Consider the following 26,579-nt stretch of genomic DNA (forward strand, 5'->3'; position numbering starts at 1 on the left):
ATGTAAATCTTGCCTCACCCTCTTCCCTCCCAGCCCTGCTGTCAGCTGGCCAGCCCCATCCCTGGAGCCAAACTGCTTCCATGCAGGAGGGAGGGAAGCCTGCTCAGTGGGAAAAGATGAAGCTGGTCCCCCCGCGTGTCAGTGAACAAATTGGGCCAATTTGGTGTGATTAGTGAAGAATTCACATCTGGCCAGCAGAGTCCTCCCCCCAGCCCCAGCCCAGCCTGGCTCCTGCTCCCCATTAGAAGCTATTTTCTCTGACGGCTCCATTTGTCTCTGTAGTGGGGGATTTGACAGCTCCCTGGCCAGCCTGGGAGGCCTGGCTCTGAGTGAGAGGCCCAAGGCCAGGCTGTGTGCCCACACCCTTGACCTGATGCCACGGGGGATGCCATGCTCCAAACAGGGCCCAGGCACCTGTATGGGCCCTGTAGGTCCCATCCCTCTTCTGTGTGCACAGATCCATAGTTGAATGGGGGCCTGGGGAGCACAGTTCACTAGGCTCCCTGACCTGGGCCCCCCTTGGGCCTTGGTCATCTTGCACAATGATTATTGTGTTTTAAGATCAACAGAGACTTGTATGTGTGTGCATGGTGGTAGAGGAAGCAGGGGTCTGGTGTTTCCTAAAAGAAAACAGCTGGGCATGTAATAGGCGGGCCTGCACCCCACTTCCTTCACCCCTTCCTCACCCCTCCCAGAGACCTGTTGCTGCAGCTACCCCTCAGGAATGCCTGTAGATGGCTGTCGCACAGCTGGAAGGCTCGCCCCGAGAAGCGGCTTCAAGGTAGTGCCTTTGGGGGTGTGGTCTGCTAAGCCTTGAGTCTTCCTCCCCGAGCAGCAGCGACCCCAGGTTGCCTGTGTCAAAGACAATTTAAGGGCTATTTAAAGGAGCCTGACCTAGGGGTCACCTGGGCAAATCTCCTCCCTGGAGAATTACCACCAGATGGCAACCTGGGGCTTGTCTCCTAGAAGGTTCTCCCTGGTTGGCTAGGAGCTCCTGGGCCCTGCCATTGCCTGGCTTGTGTGAATGGAGGCAAGGGTCCAGGACCTTAGTCCTTAGATGAAAATTCTTCTTGGAGAAGGGATAACTGGGGGAAGGGGTCCTGGACTGCAGTGGAGGGCGGGCAGGCTGCTTTTTGTTGTGGTGTCACATGGTTGTGGGGGTGGAGAGAGAAACCTTCTCCAGTCTCCAGGATTTTTCCATTGCCACATGGATACATACAGAAAACCAGGCAGAGTGAAGGAAATCAGACATCTGTGATCTCTCCAATCTCCAAACCTGTCCTGAGAACGAATCATCAACTCTCCCAGTTTGCCCCAGACTGAAGGGTTTCTGGGGATGTGGGACTCTCAATGCTAAAGCCAGGACAGTCCTAGGCTAACTGGGACAGCTGGTCACCTTACCAAAATACAAGCCCCAGGGTCCAGGCAAAGGGAGACAAGAGAAACCAGTTGTTTTGAGGTCTGTTGCCTGATTTCCTATTTGATCTTATTTAGTCCTTACCTGATTTTAGCCTGATGCCTTATTATTATTCATAGATTCTCAGCCTTCTTTTCAAGATAATACCTAGCATGTTGGCAGGATGTCCCAATTTGGGGTTGAGGGCAGTGGGGCTGGGGGCAGGTGGCTTGGTGGTACGTCTCATTCAATCTGAGATTGCACGGCTTGGGGTATGAGGTATGATGACAGCAACCAGGCTGGCCTGCTCTCCCAGGGTGCCGACCACCTAGCACCCATCTCCAATTAACAGATACACCTTCAGAACACCCACTGTGTGGTTGCTAAAATTATATTCCCATTTTAGAGATGGGATAACTGAGATGGAGTCATTGGCCCCAGGCCTGAGTTGGGGGAAAATGGAGCAGGGTCTCCTGAGTATTCCACAGCCCTTCCTCACTCACGCACCTTACCAGTCTCCTGTACGGGCAAAGGTGGCTGTTTTCTTCAGGTCAGGAATAAATGCTGGCCCCAAATGAAGGCGAGCCTGCTGCTCCTCCCCTGAAAGGTGGCCTCAGCCCCACTCCTCAGACATTAATTACATAATTAAGGATGGAGAAGGAGGAGGAGGTCAACCTAGCAGAATTCTAAAGGCAGAGAAAGGCTTCAGAAAAATCTAGATATTAGATCAAACTTCTACCTGCTCTCACAGCAGCAACTGGCCTCCAGGAGACGGAACCCGAAGAAGTCAAGATTTTTAAATGTCTGAAAGGACTTTTGGAGGAAAAGGGGACCAGCATCAGATCTCTGCTCCTGCTGTCCTGGGAGCCTGGAGCTGCTGGGGCTGGTTCCCCATCTGTCCTGCCCTCACTCTACCTCTCCTCCAAAGGCCCCTTCCCTACCTCAGCCTCTCCCTTCCCCTTCTCTGCCCATGTACCCAGAGGCTGGAGGCCGGGTGCAGTGGCTCACGCCTGTAATCCCAGAACTTTGGGAGGCCGAGGCAGGTGGATCACCTGAGATCAGGAGTTCAAGACCAGCCTGACCAATATGGTGAAACCCTGTCTCTACTATAAATACAAAAATTAGCTGGGCGTGGTGGTGTGTGCCTGTAGTCCCAGCTACTTGAGAGGCTGAGACAGAATTGCTTGGCCCCGGGAGGCGGAGGTTGCAGTGAGCTGAGATCACACTACTGTACTCTAGCCGGGGCAACAGAGCAAGACTCCATCAAACAGCAACAACAACAACAACAAAAGAATCCAGAGGCTGGAAACAAGAGCTGAGTTTGCATACAAATTGAGCTTGAAGTGCCTGTTTGAAGGGAGACTTGGGAAATCATTGAGGGGTTCATCCCTTCTGATTTCCTACTGAGTCCAAGGACTCTGGAGCTCCTGAGCATTTGAGAAGCTACGTATTTTAGGGCTGGACTGTCTAGCTGTCATATTTAGGCTGCCAGTTTTCCAGAAGGATTGGGTGGACAAGGGGACCTGTGTGAGGGAATTTTGTCTCCCAGGAGTCAGGAGGAGTGGGTGATAGGCTGAGCTCTCCTTCTGGGGGAGGCTCTTTTTTAGGAATCGTATTCCTCTAGGAAGGCCCCTCTGTAGCCCTGCTGGGCTTCTCCGAGAACCCCCAGGCTTGGGGGTTATGTATTCCCCAGCCTTCTCAGAGAGAAGGATGCTCTCCCCCTGTCCTGGCACTACTGTCTCCATCTCGGAGTCTGCCCCAGCCCCAGCCCTAGAAGAAGCCTGAAGGTGCGGTGCTTGCCTGTGTACACCCTGTTTGAATTTGCTTCAAGCCTAAGGCGACTTCCTGTTTCCATCAACAGGTCCCAGGAGAGATCAAAGGCCAGGGCTGGTGAGTTCAGGGAAGAGGAATTGAGGATGGCCGGTCCCACCACTATGTAATGAGAAGGCTGAAATTTATGTGGAGACCTGGAGCATGGGTAGGACTCTGGGGACACAGCCGAATTTCCAGGGTGCTTGGCCTAGGCCTGCCGGTGCCTACCCCGTCTTATCACTCCTCCAGGGAGCCCTGGGCATCACTCCATTCCGGAGTCCTGACCCCAACCACAGTCTGCTCCTCCTGTGTCCCCCGGCAGCGTCCTCGCTCCTTGCAGAGTTTGCCTGATCCACCTCCTAGCACGGGGCTCCCTACGGAGCCTGGGCCACAGCTGGAGGGGCACCCTCTCTACGGCGGGCCCGCCCCCTGCCCCGCGCGCCAGGCGGGCGTGGCCCGCGGGGCGGGCGCCCGGCGAGGGGCTCCGGCGCGGCGGCCGTCACTCACGCACTCACGCGGGAGGAATGCAGACGGCAGGGCTGCCCTGTGGTCACGTCCCCGCCCCACCGACGGAGGTAGGCGCCCAGGTACCCAGCCTGTGGGCCTTGGGAGCCCGCCAAGCTGCTGATGAAAGGCGCTGCCAGATTAACCCTTTCTTGGCCGCACCCCCTTGCTGCTGCCGGCTGCCGGGTGGTCGCAGAGCAGGAGGGTGAGGGGCAGGAGAGGAGTCTAGACACGCCTGGCTAACGAGGGGGCGGCTTTGGCCTCTGCGCGCTTGCCGGGTGGGTGCAGGTCCCCTGCCCCTGCCCTCCCCCTTTCTCTGGCCTTAGGACCCTAGGGCTGACATGGTTGAGGGACAGGACTCCCAATAACATCATAAACCTCACCACGGGGATTCTCCACTGGGCACAACCTCCCATGCTGATGTGCTCCCTCCTTAAGAGTCACTGTAGCTAAAGAGCACTGGACAGAGAGTCCAGGAACTCATGCAGTCATCCAACACAAATTTTAAAAGCTGAGAGGTGGCTGATGTCTGTAATCCCAGCACTTTGGGAAGCTGAGGTGGGAGCATCGCTTGAGCCCAGGAGCTTGAGACCAGCCTGGGCAACATAGGGAGATCCCATCTCTACCAAATAATAAGAATAATATTAATATAAAATATTAGCCGGGCGTGGTGGCGCTGTGGTCCTAGCTACCTGGGAGGCTGAGGCGGCAGGATTGCTTGAGCACAGGAGGTCGTGGCTTCAGTGAGCCGTGATTGTGACACTGCACTCCAGCCTGGGCAACTGGGCAACGGGGAAAGCCAAGTGGGCTCTATCTCAGTTTTTCCAGTCTGTAGAATAACAGGGTCGATAATTCAAACTATGGGGTTATTTATTTGTGTCTGTATTCACAGCAACCTTCCTTTCTTCCCCAGGCGGAATCTCAGGCAGATGCCTGGTATAGAATTCAAACAAAGCGGAGAGTTTCTGGTTGGAGTTGGGAGTGAGGTCCCCCTTTCCCTCTGGCATCTTCATCTCATCTCCTGAGAACCCCTAGGGAGGATTTCAGGGAACACAGTTTGGAAAGCTTTGAGAGCTAGGTATGGTGTGAGGTGCCTTTTGGCTCTGATATCTTTCTTTCCTTTTGTCTGCATCTGCTGGGTGATGCAGATGTATCTCTGTTCAGTGGGGGCTTTGCCAGCCTGGACATTTGCTACATCTTCTGGGCTCTGTGTGGGGCATTCTGTGATGCCCTGAGATCTGGGCTCCCTCTTCCGGGGTCTGGGTGCTGTTATCTGTGCTCCCCACTGAAAATTGGCCCTGGACAATTTTCATTCTTTGCCCATATCCTGGGGCTTGGGCTCGCCCTCTGTACTTTCTTTGTTGCTGGATCCAGTACACCGTAAGGTGATGTTACTCTCAAGTTTCCCCTCAACCCCATCTGTCTCCCAGACCCTCCTTTCTGGTCTGCTAAGAGTTCTAAGAATCCAGGGGCCAAGGGAATACTTTTTGTTTTAACACAGTTGCAGTGGTACAAGCGTGTCTGGTAGGCAAGGTGAGGAGGGCAAAGCTCTTGGGGCTAAACCTGCCTCAAGTTCAGGTGTCCTTCTCCCCCACCCCCGCTCCACCCTCTAACTAACAGCAAGGGAATCTTCCAGAGATCAAAGCATGTCGGTAACCCTCACTGAATTGGGCCATGGCCTGGGAGTTCCCAGATCTCTTCTCCAACTCATCCAGCCTCCTTGGGAGCCTCCCCCGCCACCTATAAGGGGCTGGGAGTGTCAAGAGGGGCAGGAAATCAGAGGCTAAGTCAGGAGGCAGTGCCAAGAGGCGGCAGGAAGCCAGGCGGCCTCATGCCCAGCCCTAACCACCCCCCACCTCACTCCTCAGTGGTCTCTATGAGCCTCACTGCCCTGGGGGAAGGTATACCACCCTGAAGCTGAGTTTCCAGGAGGGGCAAGAGAATCTAGGCTTTAGCTACAGTAGAACTGCAGAGTAGATCTCAGAAAGGACTTCTCAACCTGCATATCCATCTCCCTTGAATACTAGTTCCTTGGGTATGCTTTACACAGCTTAAAGGTGTTACCACCTCCAATATAACAAGACTAGAAATTTGCAAATCACCCTTAGTGCTCCGCTCCCTTCACCATCCAACTGGCCACTGAGTCCCATCCTTTCTGCAGCATTAGTGGTTTGAAGGTACCCTCTTTGCTTTCCATTTCCATTGCTCCTGATTCAGTTGACACCTTTTCTAACCAGCCCCTGAGACTATTGCAATAGTGGCTGGTTCCCCTGACTCCCAGGAGCACACCCCCGTCCTCCCTTCCCTCCCCAGTCCCTCCTCCACACTGCACCAAGAGGGATGTCAGAACACAGGTTGGAGCATGCCACTCTTATGCTCAAAAACCTTTGATGGCTCCCCATTGCCGGCAGGATAAAGTTCCAACATTGCCTGGCATTTACAGCCTGCCCTGATCTGGTGCCAACCTACCTTGCCAGCCTGGGTCCCTACTGTGTACTTTATCTCCTCAACTCCAGCCACATCCTATGGCTCGTCTTATCCCAGACCTGCTGTGCATTTTCATGGCCGACCACCTTGGCTCATAGACAAGCTTGTTCCTAGCACTTACAGTGTTGTGGGGGAGGAGGATTAATCACATAATCCCGTAAATAAATATATCCTAACAAACTCTAAGTTCAGCGTATCTTTAGGAACTCAAAGAGAGGTTATAATGGGGATGGGATTTAGACTGGGGACTCGGAGAAGGCCTCTAGGCATGGGAGGCACTGCAGTGTATTGGATTCTTGTTACTTCGAATGCTTGGGGCGGGGCTTATTTCTTCAGAACGAACTTCCCATCTGTGCCCCCAGATTTCTTGGCATCTCTGACCTAGCTTGCATTTAATTCTGTTTTAAACTGGAGCCTGTCTCATGTGTTGCAGCCCCTAGACGGTGAGCGACCGAGAGAAGGGAGGGTTGCTCGTTCGTGCTTAGAACACCATCATTCAGCACACAGTAGGTCTGGGGCACAGTAGGTCTTTAATAAGTGTGTTTTTATTTTTGAGGTGAAGGTATGCAAACTTCCACGCTGAATGAGCATGGAAATAGACCTGAAAGCAGGAAACATTCCCGAGAAATAGTGGGGCTTGGCACAGAAGCAAGGGATGGACAAGACAGCCTCCTAGTCATCCTCTTTCATGAAAGCTCTGTCCTCTCTCTAAGTGACTCTTATTTCATACCTCCCAAGATGCTTCAGAGAATCTTCCGAGTTCTGGCCTATGAACCAGCATTCCATTTGGCCCAGCCAGCCTCCCCTCAATGCTCCCCAACCCCAGGTGATCCATGTTTGCATAGAGAGGAGCTGTTCCAGACAGCAGGGGAGGGGCTTCTTTCCTGCTGGGAGATGGTGGTCCTGGTATCAGGAGCCCCCAACCACCCAGGACTGCTCCTCCACTGGACTGACTGTAGGTTTTGGGGAGGAAGGTGTCCTTCTTGCCCCCACTCCTACCCCCATACACTAAATGCCATGCAGTTCCTCCAGCTCCCTAGGAACAGAGCATAGAGGAAAGAAGGGGTTAGCCTGCCTGGCTTTGAGCAGACAAGGGAGGAGGAGGGAGATTTATTGGGGAGTGACCCTGCTTTAGAGGCCGCCTCCGCACACACACTCCCCGCCACCCCACTGCAGCCATTTCCAAGCAGACAGCAGCAGGCCATTTCCCAGGGTTTCCAATTCAATTCTCTTCCCCCGATACTTTCCCATCAGTGGAGAATTTTGGATCTGAGCAAGGGCTGGGGCGTGGCTGTTGAACCCATGAAGAAGCCAGACTAACCTATCAAATTGCAGCCCGGTCCCCTTGGGTCAGGTTCTTGGGGTAAGCTCTCCATTCAAGAATCTGATGTGGGCCGGGCGCGGTGGCTCACGCCTGTAATCCCAGCACTTTGGGAGGCCGAGGCGGGCGGATCACGAGGTCAGGAGATCGAGACCATCCCGGCTAAAACAGTGAAACCCCGTCTCTACTAAAAATACAAAAAATTAGCCGGGCGTAGTGGCGGGCGCCTGTAGTCCCAGCTACTTGGGAGGCTGAGGCAGGAGAATGGCATGAACCCGGGAGGCGGAGCTTGCAGTGAGCCGAGATCCCGCCACTACACTCCAGCCTGGGCGACAGAGCGAGACTCCGTCTCAAAAAAAAAAAAAAAAAAAAGAATCTGATGTGATGGTGAGGGCTCAATTCCTGCCACAGAGGGACACAGGAGCTGGCCTCTGGGAACCACTACTCAATCTGAGGGTGGAGACCCAGCCCCTGTTCTGAAGATGCTTCCAGACTCCCGAAGGACACAAGATGAAACCAGGACACAGACGCTCGTCTCCTCTGTGCTGGTCAGTGGCTAAGATGCCCCAGCAGGCTTTCCAGATAGGGGCCACTCCCCTAGTTCAATGTTTTCCTCAGGGCAGCTGTGTCTGGTAGTCTCACTGCAGTCTCTCTTGCTGCAGAGGCCATGTGAGTGGTGGTACTCGCAGCACAGGTGGTATCCGGCAGGTAGGGAGCACGGGGGAGGAGGAATGTGCCCGGGGCCTGGGCAGGATGCCAGTGGACAGTCCCAGCAGCCCCACCCCTACCCATGACCTACTCACCCCACCTTCTGCCAGCCATGGTCCTTGTCCCTATGCCAGGGGTCACAGCCAGTCATGGGTTCCGGGTAACCATTCCTGGGAGGAGACCCGGCCTCCAGACGTGAGGGACATCTTCTGGGGCATTAGTCATTGCCATAACTGCCATTTCACACACACTGACCCTGGTCTATTTAGTCCTCACAGTTAAATATTGTATTACCCCCATTTTACAGGTAGGCAAACCAAGGCTCAGGGTGAAGAAGTCCCTGATACTGTGTACCTGGTGCAGCCTGACCCGGAGCAGCAGTGGATGGGGCATTGTGGGGGTCAGAGCAGGGGGACTTGTGGATCTGCAGCTCCTGGGGTTGAGAGTCAAAGGGTCTTTCTCATCCCAGAAGGAATTTGTCCCCACCGTGAGAGGGGTTAGACACGGCTGGAAGTGGGGACAAAGCGGGAGCAGGCTCAGCACAGGAGTGCTTTAGCCAGCACCCTGCAGCATGCCAGGGACCCTGTGCAAGAACCACCTCCACCCGCCTCCTCCCTGCACCCTTCCAGAAGCTGAGGGAGCAGGTGGGGAGATGGTGACTCTCCAGAGCCCCTGATCTCAGCAGAGAGCCTGCTCCCTGCTACAGCGCCCCAGGTGTTCCACTGTCCAGGCGGCATCCCCAAGACCACCCCCCACCCTATATGTCTCAGAGTGATGCCTCCAGAATGAGAGCAAGGGCTCAGACCAGTGAACTGGGGGGAAGACTCCGGGCTCTACTCTCCAATCCCTCTGCTCCCTCCCCCTCCACCTCCCTCCCGCAAGCTTCCCTCCCAAACACTCAGTCATTCATTCCCCAGACCACCTACAAACCACCCATTTGCCCAGACCGCACAGCTCCTCTGCCCAGCGCAGCTCCCCAGGATAATGGCCGCCCCACCCCCACCCTTCCAGGATGCACCCCCAAGCCTAATTACCACCTTGGCACCTCCGGGGCAAGGGGGGCGCTGACCTCTGTTTATGCTTGGAAATCTCTTGGGCAGAGGAGGCCTGTTTTGCTCTGGACATCAAGGAGCAGGAGGAAATTAGAGACCCTCAACGAAGCCCCCTGTGGTCCCTCCCACCCCACGGCCTTGTCTCTGGGCCCAGGCTAGTGGGGCAGGACAGAAAGGCAGGATGGTGGGGACCCCTGTTTGCTCCTCTCTCCTTCTGGGCACAGTGAGGGGATGGGAGAAGGAACAGGCCTGGACTCTGTCCTCCAGATGCAGGCTCGGGGAGGACTCCCCAGAAAGAGCACTGGACTGGGAGTCAGAGACTGGGGTTTAATTCCGCTGACCCTGACTCCTTGGACTCCCCATCCCGTTGGGCCTCAATTTCCTAGGGTGTGAGAGACAGCTGATCTTCTTGGTCTCTAAGGGCTCTCCCAGCTTGGGGCCGTGAACCCCAAGGAGGTGACTGAGAGATGCTGCTCTCAATCCAGCCTCTCTGCACTGCAGAGAGACCCCCTTCCCACCCCAGCAGAAAAGCAGGGGGAACCCAAGTGGATGGAGGAAGCTGCAGGAGGAGGACAGGTGGTCAGGACAGGGAGACAGAGCAGGGTGTGGCCTGACACCCATCAACACTGGGTGGGAGGGAGGATGGGCGCCATGACAGGCTAGGAGTGGTGGAAGTCGAGAAGCTCTGGGCTGGTAAGCTCCACTCCTCTGGCATCAGCAAGGTGGTAGAAGGGAGGCCCTCCCCTGAAGGGGCTTGTGATTCTGCAGGGACCCTCTGCCTTTCCAAGGCTATGCCCCCAGCCCCTGCAAAGTCTACCCTGACCAAAATCCTAGCAGCTGCTCCATGAGGGTAGGGACCAGTTTTTGTCAGGTGCCCAGTGTGGGCTTTGGCTTAGAGGAGGTGCCCAGAAAATCTGAAATGAATGAGTGCATATGGAGCAGCTTTGGGGAGATTGAGGAAAACCCAGATGTGTGAACCTTACCTGCAGCTGTGGGAATGGGGAGTGGGCGGGAGAGAGAGGACCATGGGGTGGGGTGTTGGTGGGTTCACCCTCACCAGGCAAGACTGAGCTGGCCTAGGCCCTGGAGGCCAGGGCCACCAGGGCTGGGCTGGGGCGGATGAGGTGGTCTCTGTGGGGTCCCTCTCAGGATCCCTCCTTCCCCCGTAATTACCTCTGATTAGCTTCACCACAACAGCCAGGCTGGAAAGAGAGGGGTGTTTGGAACGTGGGGGAGGGGACAAGGTGGAGCAGAGCACTCACGACAAGCCACGGACCCCAGCAGAGCTCCCTCCCCACAGCTCAGAACACACACACACACACACACACACACACACAAGTGCGTGCAGGCGCACACAGGCACACACACATATGCACACAGGCGCACCACAGCCACACACTCAGGCTTGCACATACACAGGTGCACACATGCACACAGCCACACACACATAGGTGCACACACACAGGCACACCCGTGTGGGTGCACACACACACACACAGGTACAGGCACACACAGGCACACACACAGACACACTCGCACACACACACACACGCACCCTGAGCTGGAAAATTGCAAAGGAGTCCATCTACACAGGCCCACAGTGGCAGTGATCAGGGCACCAGGTCCTTTAAACAACTCACCCAAGGGTATTCAAAATGCAACCTCTCACCCGCTGCAGTTCCTGGGAGGGAGGATGGCTAGGCGCAGCTTCTAGGCAGAGGGGAGCGGGGAACAGTGAACGGAACAAACACTTCAGTTGGGAAAGGGGCTGTGGCAGACATGTCTACTGGCACAACGCAACGCCCACCCTGGAGCCCCCTTGCTGGCAGCTCAGACAGTTCCTGGTGTCCAGCCGCTGACTCTGCTGTGTCCCTGCAGAGCTGAGGGATCTGCAGACAGCTTTGCCCTTGTCCACCGGCGTCCTGCCCTCACCCACCCGCTCCTTGAGACAATCCAGCCTAGGGCCTTCCCTGGGAGCCAAGAAGCTGGGGCCCCTTCTTTCTAACCTGCCAATGGAACCCTCGCGTTCCCCCAGACTCATATTCCAGGAAGGGCTCCTGAGGTGAGGAGACCCAGCAAGGGGGAAAGTGTCCCCTCCTTTCTCGACTGTTCTGGGGAAGAGAGCTGTGAGCCAGGCAGGCACTGGTAGAGTGAGGGAAGAACAGTGACTTCTTCCTCTCCAGCCTTACCTTAGAGAAACTATTATGTAATCAATAGCAGTATTCCTTGAATTTTTTTTTTTAAAGCTTGCTCTAGGTCTGAGCACCAGGCTGCCACGCTTACAGACGTCATTTCACTCGTTCTCTTTTAGGGAGACCCGAACCCTGCCCTCAGGGAGCTCCCCAGCACTGCCCGAGTTCGTACCTCCCCTCACAACCCCTGCCCTCAGGGAGCCTGTAGTCTGATGGGAAAGACTTGATGCACAAATAGAATGGACAACCCCGCCCTGGCCTCCTCCCCACGTCCCTGTTCTCCAAAAGGGAGCTGGGCTTTCGGAGGTGAGAGGAACCGCGAGGCAGCAGCGGTGTGGGGAAGGCACTCAGCTTTCCTGGAGGAGCGGCTCCCGGTGGCGGCGGGCTGCCTGGAGGAGGAGGCAGGGCCAGGCTGGGCGCTGAGGAGGCCGCCCCGGTGGCGCTCCCACGACCCGGGCAAGGCAGTCTGGGCGCCGTCTCCGGTCTCGGGGCCTGCGGTCGGGGCACCGCGGTGCCGCGTTTGAGCCGGTCAGCTCCCTGCGGAAATTACAGGGGCGCTCGGCGCTGCGGTCGCGCCCCCCGGGGCAGCGCCCGCTGGTTGGAGGCGTTTAAATTGAAAGCAGCTTTGGGGAGAGGGGGCGGACGCGGGCCGCCGAGCAAGGGGAGGGGGCGGCCCGGCACAGCGACCCCATTGTCTGTGCCCGCCGAGGGGTGGAACCTTGCGGTGAGCTCGGCGCGGCGCCCCCTCCCCGAGCTCCGGCCCAGCGGCGCTCTCAGCTGGTTCCCACGCTGCGCAGCGCTGGCCACGACCCCTCGTCCCTTCTCCACCTGGGTCTGCCTCTTGGCTCGCTGACTGCAAGCCTGGCAGCGCGCACGCGCACACTTCCTCCAGGTGGCCCTCCCAGACTAAGCCTGATATCAAGTCGGGCATCACTGAGTCATGGAAGGTCAGGAAAACCCGGGTTGACTCTGCTACTAGGCTTGGTCACCTTAGGCAAATCTCCTTCCCTCTCTGGGCTCCAGTGTCCTCTATAAAAATGCCTACCTCTTTCAGTCATTTTTAAAGATGATTTGAGCCACTGTATGGGAAAGTGTTTTGAAAACTGAAATGCTGCAGGTAGCTGAGCAATACAAGACGAGAATAAGCCCCTCCTTCTACTCTTCACTGTGCGGGCCCTTTTATACACAGGTGTGCTGGTGCTAGAACCATAGCGCTAGTGGTGGGTTGGAGGAGAAGAAAAGCAGCCAACAGAGTGGAGGCTAGAAACCACGGTGGACTTCCCGGAGAAGGGAAATGTGGAGCAGGGCGGGAAGGAGCAAAACGGGGCAATTTTTGGAGACAGGAGAGAGATGTCTCCTCTTGGGAGAAGCTCAGCAAAGGCCGGAGAAGTGGCTTGGGGAGAGTGGCTGTTTGCCCAGTTGCTGGGTGGCATGTCTCCTGGGAAGGCAGATTGGTGGCAGCTCCTGGTGCAGTCTCTGGGTGATGGGTGGGGCCTATGCCTGTCACCCCTGGGGAGTGTGGGGCGCTCCCTTTGGCCTGTTTCTGGTTCTTTTTCCAAAGGCTTTGAGTACCTAGAGGCTGGTCTCTGGGCTTCGGGCACCAGGTGCAGGGATCTTGGTTTTATTGTTCCCTTTGCTTCCATCAGCAGGAGCAGGCTGTTTACCAGGCCTGGTGCCCAGGGACGGGCCATGTGCTCCATACCTGGCAGAGCTACATGTTTCTGCCCTACTTCCTGGGGGCCCCTAATGGGCAGCCAGGTATGGGGGGCAAAGGCTATAGTACCAAGTCCCTATGAAGGGAGCCTGAGACATACACACTTGGTGGCAACAAGGAGAGCTGAGCCCGGCAGGAGGGAAGTGGCCTCTGTAAGGGTTCCCAGATGAGGGGACTGAGGAGCAGCCTGGAGAGGAGGGAAGAAGAGGGGTGAGGAAGAGGAGGGAGGGAAGGCAGAGGGGCAGGGCGGGAGTTTCCGCTAGAGGCATGAGGGCTGTCAGAGTTCCTTCCCAGCCCCCTTCCCATCTCTTAACACTGCACCCTGCCCCCACCATCCCACCCTCAACTCCTCCTCCAGAGCCCAAAGCTTCTCAAAGGCCTGTAACAGAGAGTGCTTGGATCTGGCAGCTGGGATGAAATCTACAAGCCGGCTTTGGAGATTCAGAGTTGGGGTAAATTAGATTGGGGGTGGGCTCAGAGGCTCTGCCTGTCCTTTGCACCTCCTTTCCTGGTCCAGGCAGCTGATGAACCCACCCACCCAGGATAGCTCCCTCACCCCTTGGCATGTCCTATGCTAGTGCCAGCTGGGCACAGGGCAAGGAGGCTGTGGGAAAATAACTCGAGAGCCTGGCGAGGACAGGTGACTGCCCAGAGTGAACTGACTGGTTAGGGCTGGGCCTCCCCTGTCCAGAGAGCTGGCCGGGCTCAAGGAGCCTTCCTGATCCCTAGGCATGGGACTCACGGGACATGACTTCTCCCAGGGGACAGGGGCCCAGGTTTCCCTTGGGTGTGGGGAACGCAGGATGGAAGAGTCCTGGGGAGAAAGTCCTCCTGTAGATCACCTCCTTGCCTTTGGAAGATCTCAAAGCGTTTAGCCTGACCAACGCCTTCCTTGGCCTTCTGCCTGGGAACCTGGTGGTGGGGTAACTCACCACTTTTCCTGGTGATGGGGGAGAGCAAGCTGACAGCCCAGAGGCCTCGTACACATCACACTCCTAGTTAGCAACCAAATACTAACAGGATTCCATTCCCGATGCAGGCCAACGGCTACGCCAGCTCTCTGAAGGTGTTTCTCCTGCTGCAGTTGTTCCCTGAACTCCCTGTTGACAGTCACCCCCCATTTCCTAGTGGAAAACCCTGGCCCTGTCCCTCTCCTTCCCTCCCTCCTCTTCCTCGACGCCCTCTTCTTCCCTGCTCTCCAGGCTGCTCCTCAGTCCCCACCTTCTCAGAGCCCAGAAAGCCTTCCACACATGCCATGCACACCTCTCAGACCATGAAAGAGGCTTTCCCAAGCTTGCCTCGTGCCAGAAGCCCGCCAGGTTGAGCAGGGATGGGGAAGCAGGGAGCCAGACCCACGCAATCCTTGGCCTCCAGCCCCCTGAGTGTGCCAGGCCTGAAAGAGGCAGAGACCTATCTTCTTGCCTACCTTGCCCGGCCTTAGGGTCTTGGAGGTCAGGGCTTTGGGCAGAAGGGAGAGGGCACTGAGGCTGAGGCTTCTACAGGCCCCAGGCCCCAGGCCCCAGCTGACGGGCTTCACATGGGCTGAAGGTGACTCTACTGGTTCACATCTGCTTGGGGCCAGGGAGAAGAACTCTAGGAGTAGGGGGTTGGGGTCTAGCTAGACTGGGACAGGAAGAGGCTTACGTACCCACCTGGGTCATCTGTCATCAAAATGCCCCCAGGTAGGTGCCATGAGTGGCAACAGTCACAGAAGTGTCCTTGCTCTCAGAAACTCAGGACTGATGCTTCCAGAAAGAGCAGGCTGGAGGAGGGAGCCAGGTGAGAAAGTGAATTGACCCACATGACTTCCGAGGCTCCCGCAGCTAAGACTCTGCAGTCCTGTGATCCCAAGAACCTGAGCACCTAAGATATGGTCCCTAGATGCTGGGATTGTAGCAATCGTCATCATAATGATAGCATCAGGCACTGTCACAAAACTTCACATGCCCATCTCACCGCTCCACAGTGAGCGAACTGAGGCACAGAGAGGTTCAGTTAGCTTGTCCCGAGAGCCACGGAATGGGGAGCCCAAACTGGGTCTGCCTGACTTCAGAATCTGCTCACGTGGCTTCTCTGCAGCCTTTTTGTCCCTAAACCCTGCTCTCCGTAGGGTCTGTGATTCAGCATACCACTAAGTCCAACACTAAGTCATGACTCAACATCTTTGGTGGGAAACAGCAGGTGGGAGGGGTGGATCCTGGCAGGGAGGCTATGGAGACAACTATCTCCCATCCTCCTCTTCTGGGTGCTGGAAAGCTTCCTGGAGGAGGAGGAAGAGGAGGAGGAGGAGGAGGAGGAAGAGGAGGAGGAGGAGGAGGAAGAGGAGGAGGAGGAGGAAGAGGAGGAAGATGGGCAAGAGAGGGCAGAGGAGAAAGAGGAAAGGAAGAGAGTATTTCAAGATGGCTAGTAGGGGTGGCCATTCCAGGGCATTACCTGGGGCACTTGGAGGAAGATGACGTTGTTTGAGGCTAGACGATTGGAGGGACCCAGTGGGGGCAAGGTGGGAGGACAGGAGTCTGGTTTGGGTGCATTCCCTTCTCCACCAGCCCATGGGCCCAGTGTCTAAGGACTTAGAGCCCAGAGGGCAAAGAGGGCTCAGGCCATGGCCCTCTGAGAAAGCCTCCTATGCCTCACCCCTCCTCCAGCTGCTCAGCCCTCTGTTGCTCCAGGCGGGAGGCCACTTTCAGCCACTCTCAGACAAAATCCCTGGGGGAAGGCCCCCCCGGCTGCTCTCTCCCAGGACTGATTACAAGCAAACAGCTGGAGGCAAACATCTGCTCCTCTCCCAGGGGAGGACTGTCCTTGTTCCCTCAAAGGTATGGAGCCTGCGGCCATCTTCCCTCCCCATTAAGGAGACAGCTGTCTTTGCGGGCATCCAGGAGACTGGACAGAGAGAAGACAAAAAATAAACATCACTGAGTGCCAGCCTTCAGGCAAGTGGAACAGCCTCATTTTGCCAAGGGGAAAACTGTGACACAGGCAGGGGAAGTCCCACAGAGGGTCGATCTGGCTTCAACTCTGGCTCTGTTCTGGTTGTAAGGTGCTAGGGGTCTGTGCCCAGTGGATGCACTCTGCTTCTCCCCCCTACAGCTCCCACCCATGGGTTTGGCCACAGATGAGTTCAGAATTCCATGAAGGCATGGGTTCCTCCTGGGGACAAGGGTACATAGCAAGGCTGCGGGTGCCTCTCAGCAGCCCCAGGGAGGCCCGCTCCCCACTTCTTGTTGATGCTACAGCTTTTCTGCCAGCTGGGTTGTAGTTACTGTTGACCTTTACTGAGGGCCTTCTAGGTATCAGGCACTGGGCTAAGCATCTTAACAGATGCCATGTTTAATCCTCTCCACAGCCCTAGGAGATAGGTTCAGTAACTCTCACCATTTTACCGATGACAGAACTAAGGCTCAGAAATGTGAAATAATGTGCCCAAGATTACCCAGCTGTACGCAGTGGAGGTGAGATTGGCATCCAAAACCTTCCCTCTCAAGCTCTATGCCACTCCCTTTGGTGATACAATTGCTGAGTATGTGGCTCTCCGTCTCCCTTAACCAGGGTCCGGCTGGATTGGAACAGCAAACCCTCTCTGCCTGCCTCTGGCCTCTTCTTGCCCCCTTGGATTGAAGAATTGGCTCAGGGTGCTGCCTCTGACATAGGTTGCAAAGGCAAGTGGATGAAATTGGACAAGCTCTAAATCCAGTTTCCCCTCTGCTCACCCTGTCACCAACTGGGGTTCCAGCTCCCTCTAGGGTCAGAAGGAAATGACTTGTGGGGTACCCGGTGTTTGGCAAGTGGATAAGGGTACAGGCTCACACCCTGTCACTTGCTTGCTGTGAGACCTTGGGCAAGTGACTTAACCTCTCTGTGCCCCAGTGCTGGCATCTGTAAAATGAGGAAATAAGTACCAGGCTCATGGGATAATGATAGGATCGAGCTGGAAAGAGTTCACAGAGTTTGGAGCAGTGCCTGGCATGCAGTGAGTGCTTCTGCTATTATTATTAGTTGGAGAATCAAGAGACAACTGTTTAAAAAGAGGAGCGGCCAGGAAGTATAGGCAAGTCTATCAAAAAGACATGGTTGATTTTGGGGGTCTAGATTTCCTAATTATTCAAGGCTGAGGGTCCTTGAGAGGGAAGAAAGGGGTGAATGGTTTCCAGGTGACATTTCTGCTTCCCCACACCCATCCCCAGGAGGGTGAAATTCCTCACAGGTCTCTGTGCGCTTTCATGTGAAGCCTGCCGAGCCCTGGCCAGCATTCCTCTGTCCATCCTGTGGGTTGGGAGCTGGTGGAGAGGGGTCATTAGCCCTTTTTCAGCTGTGTAAAGTGTGAGGGTAGGGCCCCAGCGGGGACCTGCTGAAAGCGGATGTCCCTCCACTCCCAGCGGAGGGGCTTCGAGGGAGGAAAGCCCATCTAGGTGGGTGTTCAGGGCTGCCTTACCCGCCCCTCGACTCGTGCCTGCAATGCAAGCGGATGCCTGTGACACAGACTGGAGGACCAGGTTGGGCCATTTCCCCTGCTGACATCCCCATCCCGAGGTCCCCTGGAAACAGGGTTTTGTGTGGACACCAGGGAACATGCCGTGCTGCTCCAGGGGACATGACCCTCAGTTCTGTCCCTGCCCCTGTTCTGTCCCTGACCCTCAGTTCTGTCCCTGCTCCTGTAGCTCTCAGGCTGCTGTGGGAGGGCAGGAGCTAGGGAGAAGGCCACCCCAGCTGGTGAGAGCTGGGGAAGCAGGTGAGATTGAGGAGAAAGTTGGATGGGTGGGGAGGTAAGGGCAGGCTTCCTGGAGGAGGGTAGGAAAGATAGAGGGAGGATCAGGACTGGTGCGACGGGGTTGGGTGCAGGGATGTGGAGACCTGCTCTTTGAACCCTCTGCCTCCATGCCTGTGTGTTCTTCTGCACCCACCCACTTATCCATCCATCTATCCATTCATTGACCCATTTTACATTTACCTGTCTGAACAGGACTTATGGAAGCCCTCACCCATTAGCTGGAGCTGTCCCACCACAGACTGGGCTAAATGGCCAGTGGTAAGCTTCGCCTCACTGATAGGTGGTAAGCTTCCCCTCACTGAAGTGTTGTGAGAGCTATCATGAGGGGGGACCCCCACACAGGATGGGGGCTCCGTTACATTTCTTCCAAGGTGTCCTTCCTGCTCTAGGGTACTGGGAGGTTTTCCACCTCCAGTTCTTCCCTCCCAGGATCTGAAGTTCGTAGCTTTCTCTCCAGTTGTCAGTTGCTTCACCTTCATCCTGTCTCCTTCCCTCCCATCTCTAATTTGCCCCTCCTCCCCACCAGGCCCACGTGGGCTTCTCTATTTCCCTCTTCTCCAGCCTCCCTACCTCCACTCTGGCTTCTGCTGCCACCAGGGATAGCTCTGAAGGACTTTGCTGTAAGCGTGGACTTCCCTTGCTCAAAAGCTTTCCATGGCTCCCTGTTGCCTGTAGGGAAACATCCAAACTCCTCTGTCTGCCTTTCAAGGCCTTCTCTGAGTGGGCCCCAGGCACTTAGCCCACTTTTACGCATGAAAGCCACTCCACCTTCAGCACCTTACTCACCCCTTGCCAACCACCTTGCTTGGAGAACTCTTAACTGCAACTTTTAGCTGAAGCTCAGAAAATGTCTTCTTGATGCAAGCTGGTGCCCTCAGCAAGGCAGTGACTGAGTTGCTGGCTGGTTTCTTTGAGGGCAGGGGCACATCCTTTCTTCTTCTTTTTTTTTTTGTTTTTGGAGATGGAATCTCGCTCTGTCGCCAGGCTGGAGTGCAGTGGCGCAATCTCGGCTTACTACAACTTCCGCCTCTTAGGTTCAAGCAATTCTCCTCCCTCAGCCTCCCGAGTAGCTGGGACCACAGGTGCCTGCCGCCACGCCTGGCTAATTTTTTGTATTTTAGTACAGATGGGGTTTCACCGTGTTGCCCAAGCTGGTCTCGAACTCCTGAACTCAGGCAAGCCACCCACCTCGGCCTCGGCCTCCCAAAGTGCTAGGATTACAGACGTGAGCCACCATGCCCAGCCCTGGCACATCCTTTTATGTTTGTGTCCCCAGTACCCAGTAGCTGGCATACAGTAGGTGCTCAACAAATGTAACTAACAGTCAATAAATTTCCATCCCTCTGCTTTGAGGACCTCCCATCTTCTCATCACTGCTTGCCCAAGTCTAACCCATCCTTTGAGGTCATCTCAGTGCTTCTCCCTCCTTAACACCTTTCCTGGGCCCCCATCTGGGAAGCTCCACTCTTCCCTGAACCTCCATGGTAGATTATTTTTGTCATCCTTGTGCCCAGTGACTCTTTCATTGAACTGCAGGTTTCTACAGGGCAGGAACTGAGTCTCTCTTCATGTCATTGGATTGCTATTAATATTGCTATAACCACTAATGCTTTAAAAACATTTGTCCACAACTCTGTTCTAAATTAAGTCAGCAGGGCCAGGCGCAGTGGCTCATGCCTATAATCCCAGCACTTTGGGAGGCCAAGGCGGGCCGATTACTCGAGGTCAGGAGTTTGAGACCAGCCTGGTCAATATGGTGATCCCTCGTCTCTACTAAAAATACAAAACTTAGCTGGGCGTGGTGATGTGTGCCTGTAATCCCAGCTACTCGGGAGGCTGAGGCAAGAAAATCGCTTGAATCTGAGAGCAGAGGTTGCAGTGAGCCAAGATCACACCACTGTACTCCAGCCTGGGCGACAGAATGAGACACCGTCTCAAAACAAACAAACAAAAACCCCAAAGAACATATTAAGTCAGCAGACAATGATTGAGTTTTTTTTTTACGCCGCTGCCCAGGCTGAAGTGCTATGGTGCGATCTTGGCTCACTGCAACCTCCGCCTTCTGGGTTCAAGCAATGCTCCAGCCTCAGCCTCTGGAGTAGAGTAGCTAGGATTACAGGCATGCGCCACCACACCCGGCTATTTTTTGTATTTTTAGTAGAGATGTGGTTTCACCATGTTGGCCAGGCTGGTCTCGAACTCCTGACCTCAGGTGATCTGCCTGTCTTGGTCTCCCAAAGTGCTGGGATTACAGACATGAGCCACTGCCCCCTGGCTCCAGTGATTGCGTTTCTGTGTCTAGTATGTTCTGGGTACTGCTCCACTGCTCCAGGCCAGGGGCTCACAGTGGCAGGGCCTCATAGTCCTCTGGAGGCCAGGGGAAGAGAGACCATTAACAAACCCTTTGAGGTAAGGCTTCTCTGGCCTCCAGCCACACTGCAGAGCTGAGGTTACTGAGCTGAGAGGTTGCATTTCCTGCTAGGGTCACACAGCCAAGGAGTGTGGGGGTAGGCCCCCACAGGAGCCCTTTTACCCAGTGCTGGCTTCAGCCTACATACAGCCACCCAATTCAGATGGATGATCAATAAAGTTATAAATCCACACTTTTGGATTTCTTTTTCCTTTTCTTTTTCTTTTCTTTTTTTTTTTTGAGATGGAGTTTCGCTCTTGTTGCCCAGGCTGGAGTGCAATGGTGCGATCTTGGCTCACCGCAACCTCCGCCTCCCAGGTTCAAGAAATTCTCCTGCCTCATCCTCCCGAGTAGCTGGGGTTACAAGCATGTGCCACCGTGCCCGGCTAATTTTGTATTTTTAGTAGAGACAGGGTTTCAGCATGTTGATCAGACTGGTCTCAAACTCCTGACCTCAGGTGATCCACCCACCTCAGCCTCCCAAAATGCTGGGATTACAGGCGTGAGCCACCGCGCCTGGCCTGGATTTCTTTTTTAAATGATAGCAGCCAGGTTTGGTGGCTCACCCCTGTGATCCCAGTGCTTTGGGACAACGAGGCGGGAGGATGGGTTGAGGCCAGGAATTTGAAACCAGCCTGGGCAACGTGGGGGCAAGACCCCATCTCTACAAAACAAAATTTTAAAAAATGATAGCAAATGCAGCTTCTTCTTTTATTTGGAGTCTTTGGGTTAGGAACCCAGTTGGTGCCCCAACTAGGTGATGAGCCATTTCTATTTCTGACATGAAAACGCATTGCAGGGGCACTTGTTACTTCCCGGATAGACCCACGCTCCACCTGCTTCCTCTGTGGCGTCTCTCCTAAAGGAAGAGGGTCAGGCCTCATCTCTCAGGCACCTTCTTCCCACAGTGGCAGCTCCTATGATCAGGGGTTGGGTCCTGGGCGTTCCTGCATTCCCTCCCAGGGCAGAGAAGGGTTCCGTCCAAACTGGGAAGTGATCCCTGCCCTACCCAGGAGTCTGACCCCAATCTCTCCCACCGAGGCCACCACCACGTCCCCCTGCTCTGGCCCCAGAGGAAGGAGCAGAGTGTGGCTCCAGTGGGGAAGCCTCTGCCCCTGGACCCCTGGCCCCATCGCGGAGGTCCTGCCTTCCCTGCTGTAGAGCTGGCTCCCAGCCCCCACCAGGCTCACCTGCTTGGCTTCCATCATGGGGGACAGAGATGTTATCCCTGGGGGTATGGGCCTCAATGGGGGCATTGTTCCCGCCCCATCCAGAGCAGGATCAGGGAGGGGACAGGGCAGAGACTGGGATTGTCCCAGGTGCCACACAGGCCAGCTTTGTCCTCCTCCAGCTCCCCCTCCCTCTGCCCTCCTACCTGTCCGGCCCCCTCCCTCTCACCCCTGCCTAGGCTTCTGGCTCCCCTCATAGGCTCCTCTGTAGCTTGGGGCAATGCAGCTGTTGCATGGGTGGGGTTCAGCCTGGCCCCGGGCGGTTGTGTGGGAGCAAGATGTCCCCTCCACATGACATTGCTCTTTGGAGCAGGGCCTCTCCTAGGCCAGGCCCAGCCCTGCCTGCCCAACTTGTCTGCTGATGGCACCCCTGTCTGGGGAGCACCCTGTCCCATCCTCACCCAGGCCTACCCACTCCTCTCCATGTACCATCCAGACCTGGTCTAACCGCATAGAGATTTCCTGATCACATCATACCGAGAGGCCCCCAGGAGGGAGGACAGGCTGCATATAAAAATCAGTTCCCAACGCTGACCTGACAGCCAGGACTCCTGGATTCAGGTCCCAGCTCTGCCAGTAGCTGTGTGACCTTGGTGAGTCATGGTACCCTGGAGGCTTCATTGGTCCCATCTGTAAAATGATAGCATTGGACTATCTTTTCTAAGCTCCTGTTGGGCTTTGACCTTGTGTGGCTGCCTCCTGGGAAGTAGAGACGCTGCTGGAGACTGACCCCGAGAGAAAGGAGCCCCCGCTCCCTGGCCTCTGCCTCTCCTCAACCTCCAGCCTGAGCTTTGTCCCCAAAGCATGAGTGACAGCCAAAGAAAGCTAATGGAAACCTGCACTGCTGCAGGTGAAACTGATCTCCAGCTCCAGATCCAGTTTCTCCTCCCGGCTGGCCCCCAGTCCCCCTCACACCTGCTCTGGTCCCCTTTGTTCGTTAGGCCAGGAGCAGTCCTGCCTTTCATCCACCTCCTGCCCCATTCATGCCTTAAGCCTGGGGCACCGCCTCCTCCTACCTCCTGGCTGGGGCACCATTGCTGTAGGCTGGCCAAGCGGGCACCCCAGGTCCGGGCTTTTCTCTCCCTTCCGCTCACCTGGAAAGATCACAGGGAAAGGAGATCAAGGTGGGGGAGCGAGAGGGCAGGAGGGGAGGCACTGTGTTCTACTGGATGCAGCAAGTTCTTAATGCTGGGAGTTTTGGCTTCTTGCTGAAGAAGGTACAAATTCAGGAGGGCTTCTTGGAGGAGGGGGCAATGTCTTACATAGATTTAGCACATGTTTGAACCCAGTGGTGCCTATGAGGAGATCCTGCTCTTCCTTTCAGGACTTGTCAGAGCCATTCATTCATTCATTCATTTGGCAAATATTCATTGATGTTGACTCTGTACAAAGCACTGTTGTAGGTGTTGGGAATACAGCTGCAAACAAAACCAAACCCCTGCTTTTGCAGTTTCTATTCCTGAGTGAGGTTGGGAAAGTCAGACACAAACAAATAGATATTAGTTGGTTATGATTGCTTAGGAGAAAAATTAAAATGGGTAACGGGACACCAAGTGACCAAGTGATATTTAAATAAGGATCTCAGCAGGCCTCTCAAGAAGTTGACATTTGAAGAGAGAACCAGGTGGGCAGCTGGGGGAAGATATCTTAGGCAGAGGGGATCGTAAGTGCACATGCCCCGAGGTGAGGGGAGTGGGCCTGTTGAGAGAGTAGCAAGGAGTCCACTAGGGCTGGAGTAGATGAATGGAGGGGAGGGTGGTAGGAGATGAGTCGAGTCAGGTGGCACAGGACCTCGTAGGCTGTGGCTGTGACTTCTGATTTTATTCCAGGTGAGATGGGGTAAGGAAAACAGCCAGGGTGCCTCTCCTTTGGGTACCCTGGACGGCTCTAGCCCCCCTCTCTTCTTTACTGCCCCCCAGGATTAGGGAGAAGTTAAGAGCTCAATTTGGGAATCAGACCTAGGTTTGCTCATCCATCATCATCCATCCATCCATCCCACCACGCATCCATTTCTTTGATGATGTTTCCTGCATACTCTGTGCTTAGTGAAGCCACTTACTAGACGGCTCACCTTGGGCAAGTGGTTTATTTTCCTTTTCTGTGAAGTGCATCCAGCAGTCATTCTTTCTTACTTCAGAGGAGCAGGACCCAGTGTTTAACTTGCTTAGCCCAGCATGGGGGCACAGTGAGCAACTGCTTCATCCATGCCTGCGAATGTGACTCATATATACAAGCTCCCCGACCCCAACCGGCTCTGACCCACTCAGGGAAGTGTGACCTGCGCCCACCCTACTCCCAGCAGTCCTCCCAGAGAGAGCATCCCTGCCCTGTGGCCTTAGAGCCTCCTTGTGCTCCTCTCCCTACCTCCCAAAATGTCCCACCCCTGCTTCCTACTCCCTGCTCCCTGACCTCTGCCCTCTACCCTCTGCCCTCTGCCTCTGGCCCCAAGCATGGGGTCAAAGCTCATCAGAACTTTCTCTCTGGGCCTCACATTCTAATTCACCCTCTTTATTTGTCAGTCTGCCTCTGTCCACCTCAACCTGGGGGCCGCTCACTCACCATCCTCTCAGAAAAGGCCGGGCGTGCCTTTTGTGCTGTCATGTGTTGGGCCCCAGCTGGGGGCACAAAGACCCAGAGACAGAACCTTAACTTCTGAGGAGCAAAGCCTGGAAAAAGCCCAGGCTTTGAAGCCCCAGAGAACTCTGGAGCCAGACATGTTGAGCAAACCCTGTCCCCAGCACATCCTCGCTGCTGATCCTTGCTAGTCCCTTCATGTTGCTGGGTCTCAGTTTCTTGATCTGGAAAAGGGAATGATAACACCTGCAGAGTTGTTGGTGGATCGGAGATCGTACACATAAAGCTCCCGCATGGAGAATGTGCTTCTCAAGTGGGTGTTGAGGAGCTGGGGTGTATGTACCCACACTAAGGCAGAAGCTCTGGCCCCGGCCTGGGAGTGTGATCCCAGAAATCATTTGTGTGTGTACATGTGTCTGGGGTGAGGATCCATAGCTTTTGTCAGATTCTCCAAGGGGCCTTGAGCCAAAAAGCTGGCGATGTGAGGATGGCACGGCCAAAAACTTAAACAGAGTCAAGAAGTCAAGTCTAAGGCCAGGCACGGTGGCTCACGGCTATAATCCCAGCACTTTAGGAAGCTGAGGCGGGCGGATCATTTGAGGTCAGGAGTTTGAGACCAGCCTGGCCAACATGGTGAAACTTCCATCTCTACTAAAAATACAAAAACTTAGCTGAGCGTGGTGGCAGGTGCCTGTAATCCCAGCTACTTGGGAGGTTGAGGCAGGAGAATTGCTTGAACCCAGGAGGTGGAGGTTGCAGTGAGCTGAGATCGCGTCACTGCACTACAGCCTGGGTGACAGAGTGGGAATCCGTCTCAAAAAAAAAAAAAAAAAGAAGTCACTTCTAGAACATTCACTTGTCCATTCATATTTTTCAAAATCAATTATTTGGACAACATATTTTTGGTACCTACTCTGTGCGAGGCCCTATAAGTCAAAGACTCATGGGGACCCCCACCCCCATCAAGGTGCCTTCTGTTTAGCCTCATGGGGACGCTGCACTTGACAGCTTATGGAGAGCCTCATCCAGGTGGTCTTCACTGAGCATTTCTGCTCCCCTGTAGGAGAGGCAGTGTGGGGGGCGCAATTTTACAGATGAGAAACTTGAGGCTCAGAGATACTGAGTGACTGGCCGAAAGTCACACAGCTGATGAGCAAGACAGGTACCACGAGCCCTGCACTCATGCCGCCCTCCTGGCATCTCCACTGGCCCCCAAGGAGTAGAAAGCTGCTTGCCCTACAAGGGGTTCCAGGGACCACCCTCTCTTTCAGCCTCGGCACCAAATAGTCCAGCCTCCTCCTTCTCACCTGTGGAAGCAGTGATGGCCCACAGATGCCTGGTACAGCTCACCCACTGCTCCCTGCCATTGGAACCTTCAGGGCCCTGGTTTGGCAAAAGGGGATCCTTCCAGAAATTCCAATCACTGCCTGTATTTTCTTCCTCCTCAGTGCTGAGGGATGCCATCTGGCCTCGCTGGAAGAGGCAGCCTGGCTTTGGAGTTGAAGGTGTGGAAGGAGGGGTGCCTGGCATGTGAGGCAGAGTTGGTGGGGTTGTGAGAGATGGGGGAAACTTGCAGCGGGACCCTCCCTCCCCACACAGCTCCCACTGCACACACCTCTCCCCCCGCCACAGTCTTTTTGATGCTGCTGAGGCTAAGCCAGGCTTCAGCCCACGCGAAACTCTTCACACACACCTCCAGCTCCAGGCGGTCCCCAGGACCTCGTCAGGGGCTGGCCCCGTGCCTAGGTCCCAGCCCAGGGCGCCGAGCAGCAGCGAGGGGTGGGAGGCCCCGTGTGTTCCAGTATTTATTTATTTGAAGGCCCAGCATTTACACATACCTGGCTCTGATTACCCCCCGGGGCCCGGGAGGAGGGGGACGCTGCTGCTTGGGCCTTTGATGTTCCAGAGAAGAGATGGTGAGATGCTGTTGGGAGTCACAGCTGCTGTGGGGTGTGTGTGTGTGCGGGGAGCCCTGGTGATGTCACCTCACCAGACTAAGGATGGCAGGCACTGTGCTGGGCCCAGGGATGACTAGAAGGGGTCAGAAGTGGGAAAAAGAGAGGTCCTTCCTAGGCCGAACTCTTGGTCTCCAGCCCAGCTACCCCCACCAGGGCCACAGCCATTGTCTTGGGTTTGGAACACGGATGCCCTTTACAGGAGCAGGGGCAAAAGGTGGCAGAACCTCCTCTCACAGATTGAGGGAGGCAGGGAGGCAGGAACCACCAAAGCCCGGCGGCACAGGCCACCCCCACGCCACAGAGAGGCCCGACAAAGATCTGGAGATGGTGACACAGCCCCCGAGGAGGTCAATGTCAAGGAGTCAGGGACTACATGGTACAGGACAGAGACCTGCTCAGAACCACCAAGACCCACCATGATGTGCTCTGTTAGTGGGTCTCCTGTCTCCCCCAA

At 55.4% G+C, this 26,579-nt stretch overlaps 9 annotated features.

Moving 5' to 3' along the window:
• Positions 520–1,261: an enhancer, noted in NCBI's record as "H3K4me1 hESC enhancer chr17:47976271-47977012 (GRCh37/hg19 assembly coordinates)". NCBI's record gives its function as "activates a minimal SCP1, AML or CMV promoter by ChIP-STARR-seq in primed H9 embryonic stem cells {active_cell/tissue: H9 hESC(primed)}" and the evidence as "EXISTENCE:reporter gene assay evidence [ECO:0000049][PMID:30033119]".
• Positions 5,000–5,501: an enhancer, noted in NCBI's record as "H3K4me1 hESC enhancer chr17:47980751-47981252 (GRCh37/hg19 assembly coordinates)". NCBI's record gives its function as "activates a minimal SCP1, AML or CMV promoter by ChIP-STARR-seq in naive H9 embryonic stem cells {active_cell/tissue: H9 hESC(naive)}" and the evidence as "EXISTENCE:reporter gene assay evidence [ECO:0000049][PMID:30033119]".
• Positions 10,818–11,318: an enhancer, noted in NCBI's record as "H3K4me1 hESC enhancer chr17:47986569-47987069 (GRCh37/hg19 assembly coordinates)". NCBI's record gives its function as "activates a minimal SCP1, AML or CMV promoter by ChIP-STARR-seq in primed H9 embryonic stem cells {active_cell/tissue: H9 hESC(primed)}" and the evidence as "EXISTENCE:reporter gene assay evidence [ECO:0000049][PMID:30033119]".
• Positions 14,634–15,189: an enhancer, noted in NCBI's record as "H3K27ac-H3K4me1 hESC enhancer chr17:47990385-47990940 (GRCh37/hg19 assembly coordinates)". NCBI's record gives its function as "activates a minimal SCP1, AML or CMV promoter by ChIP-STARR-seq in primed H9 embryonic stem cells {active_cell/tissue: H9 hESC(primed)}" and the evidence as "EXISTENCE:reporter gene assay evidence [ECO:0000049][PMID:30033119]".
• Positions 15,190–15,745: an enhancer, noted in NCBI's record as "H3K27ac-H3K4me1 hESC enhancer chr17:47990941-47991496 (GRCh37/hg19 assembly coordinates)". NCBI's record gives its function as "activates a minimal SCP1, AML or CMV promoter by ChIP-STARR-seq in primed H9 embryonic stem cells {active_cell/tissue: H9 hESC(primed)}" and the evidence as "EXISTENCE:reporter gene assay evidence [ECO:0000049][PMID:30033119]".
• Positions 15,190–16,882: a biological region, named in NCBI's record as "MED14-independent group 3 enhancer GRCh37_chr17:47991434-47992633".
• Positions 15,683–16,882: an enhancer, noted in NCBI's record as "MED14-independent group 3 enhancer chr17:47991434-47992633 (GRCh37/hg19 assembly coordinates)". NCBI's record gives its function as "activates an origin of replication core promoter dependent on BRD2, BRD4, P300/CBP and CDK7 cofactors, and independent of MED14, by STARR-seq in HCT116 cells {active_cell/tissue: HCT116}" and the evidence as "EXISTENCE:reporter gene assay evidence [ECO:0000049][PMID:35650434]".
• Positions 17,656–18,168: an enhancer, noted in NCBI's record as "H3K4me1 hESC enhancer chr17:47993407-47993919 (GRCh37/hg19 assembly coordinates)". NCBI's record gives its function as "activates a minimal SCP1, AML or CMV promoter by ChIP-STARR-seq in primed H9 embryonic stem cells {active_cell/tissue: H9 hESC(primed)}" and the evidence as "EXISTENCE:reporter gene assay evidence [ECO:0000049][PMID:30033119]".
• Positions 26,030–26,539: an enhancer, noted in NCBI's record as "H3K4me1 hESC enhancer chr17:48001781-48002290 (GRCh37/hg19 assembly coordinates)". NCBI's record gives its function as "activates a minimal SCP1, AML or CMV promoter by ChIP-STARR-seq in primed H9 embryonic stem cells {active_cell/tissue: H9 hESC(primed)}" and the evidence as "EXISTENCE:reporter gene assay evidence [ECO:0000049][PMID:30033119]".

The sequence above is a fragment of the Homo sapiens genome, chromosome 17 (assembly GCF_000001405.40).
Source record: "Homo sapiens chromosome 17, GRCh38.p14 Primary Assembly".
NCBI classification, from domain to species: Eukaryota; Metazoa; Chordata; class Mammalia; order Primates; family Hominidae; genus Homo; species Homo sapiens.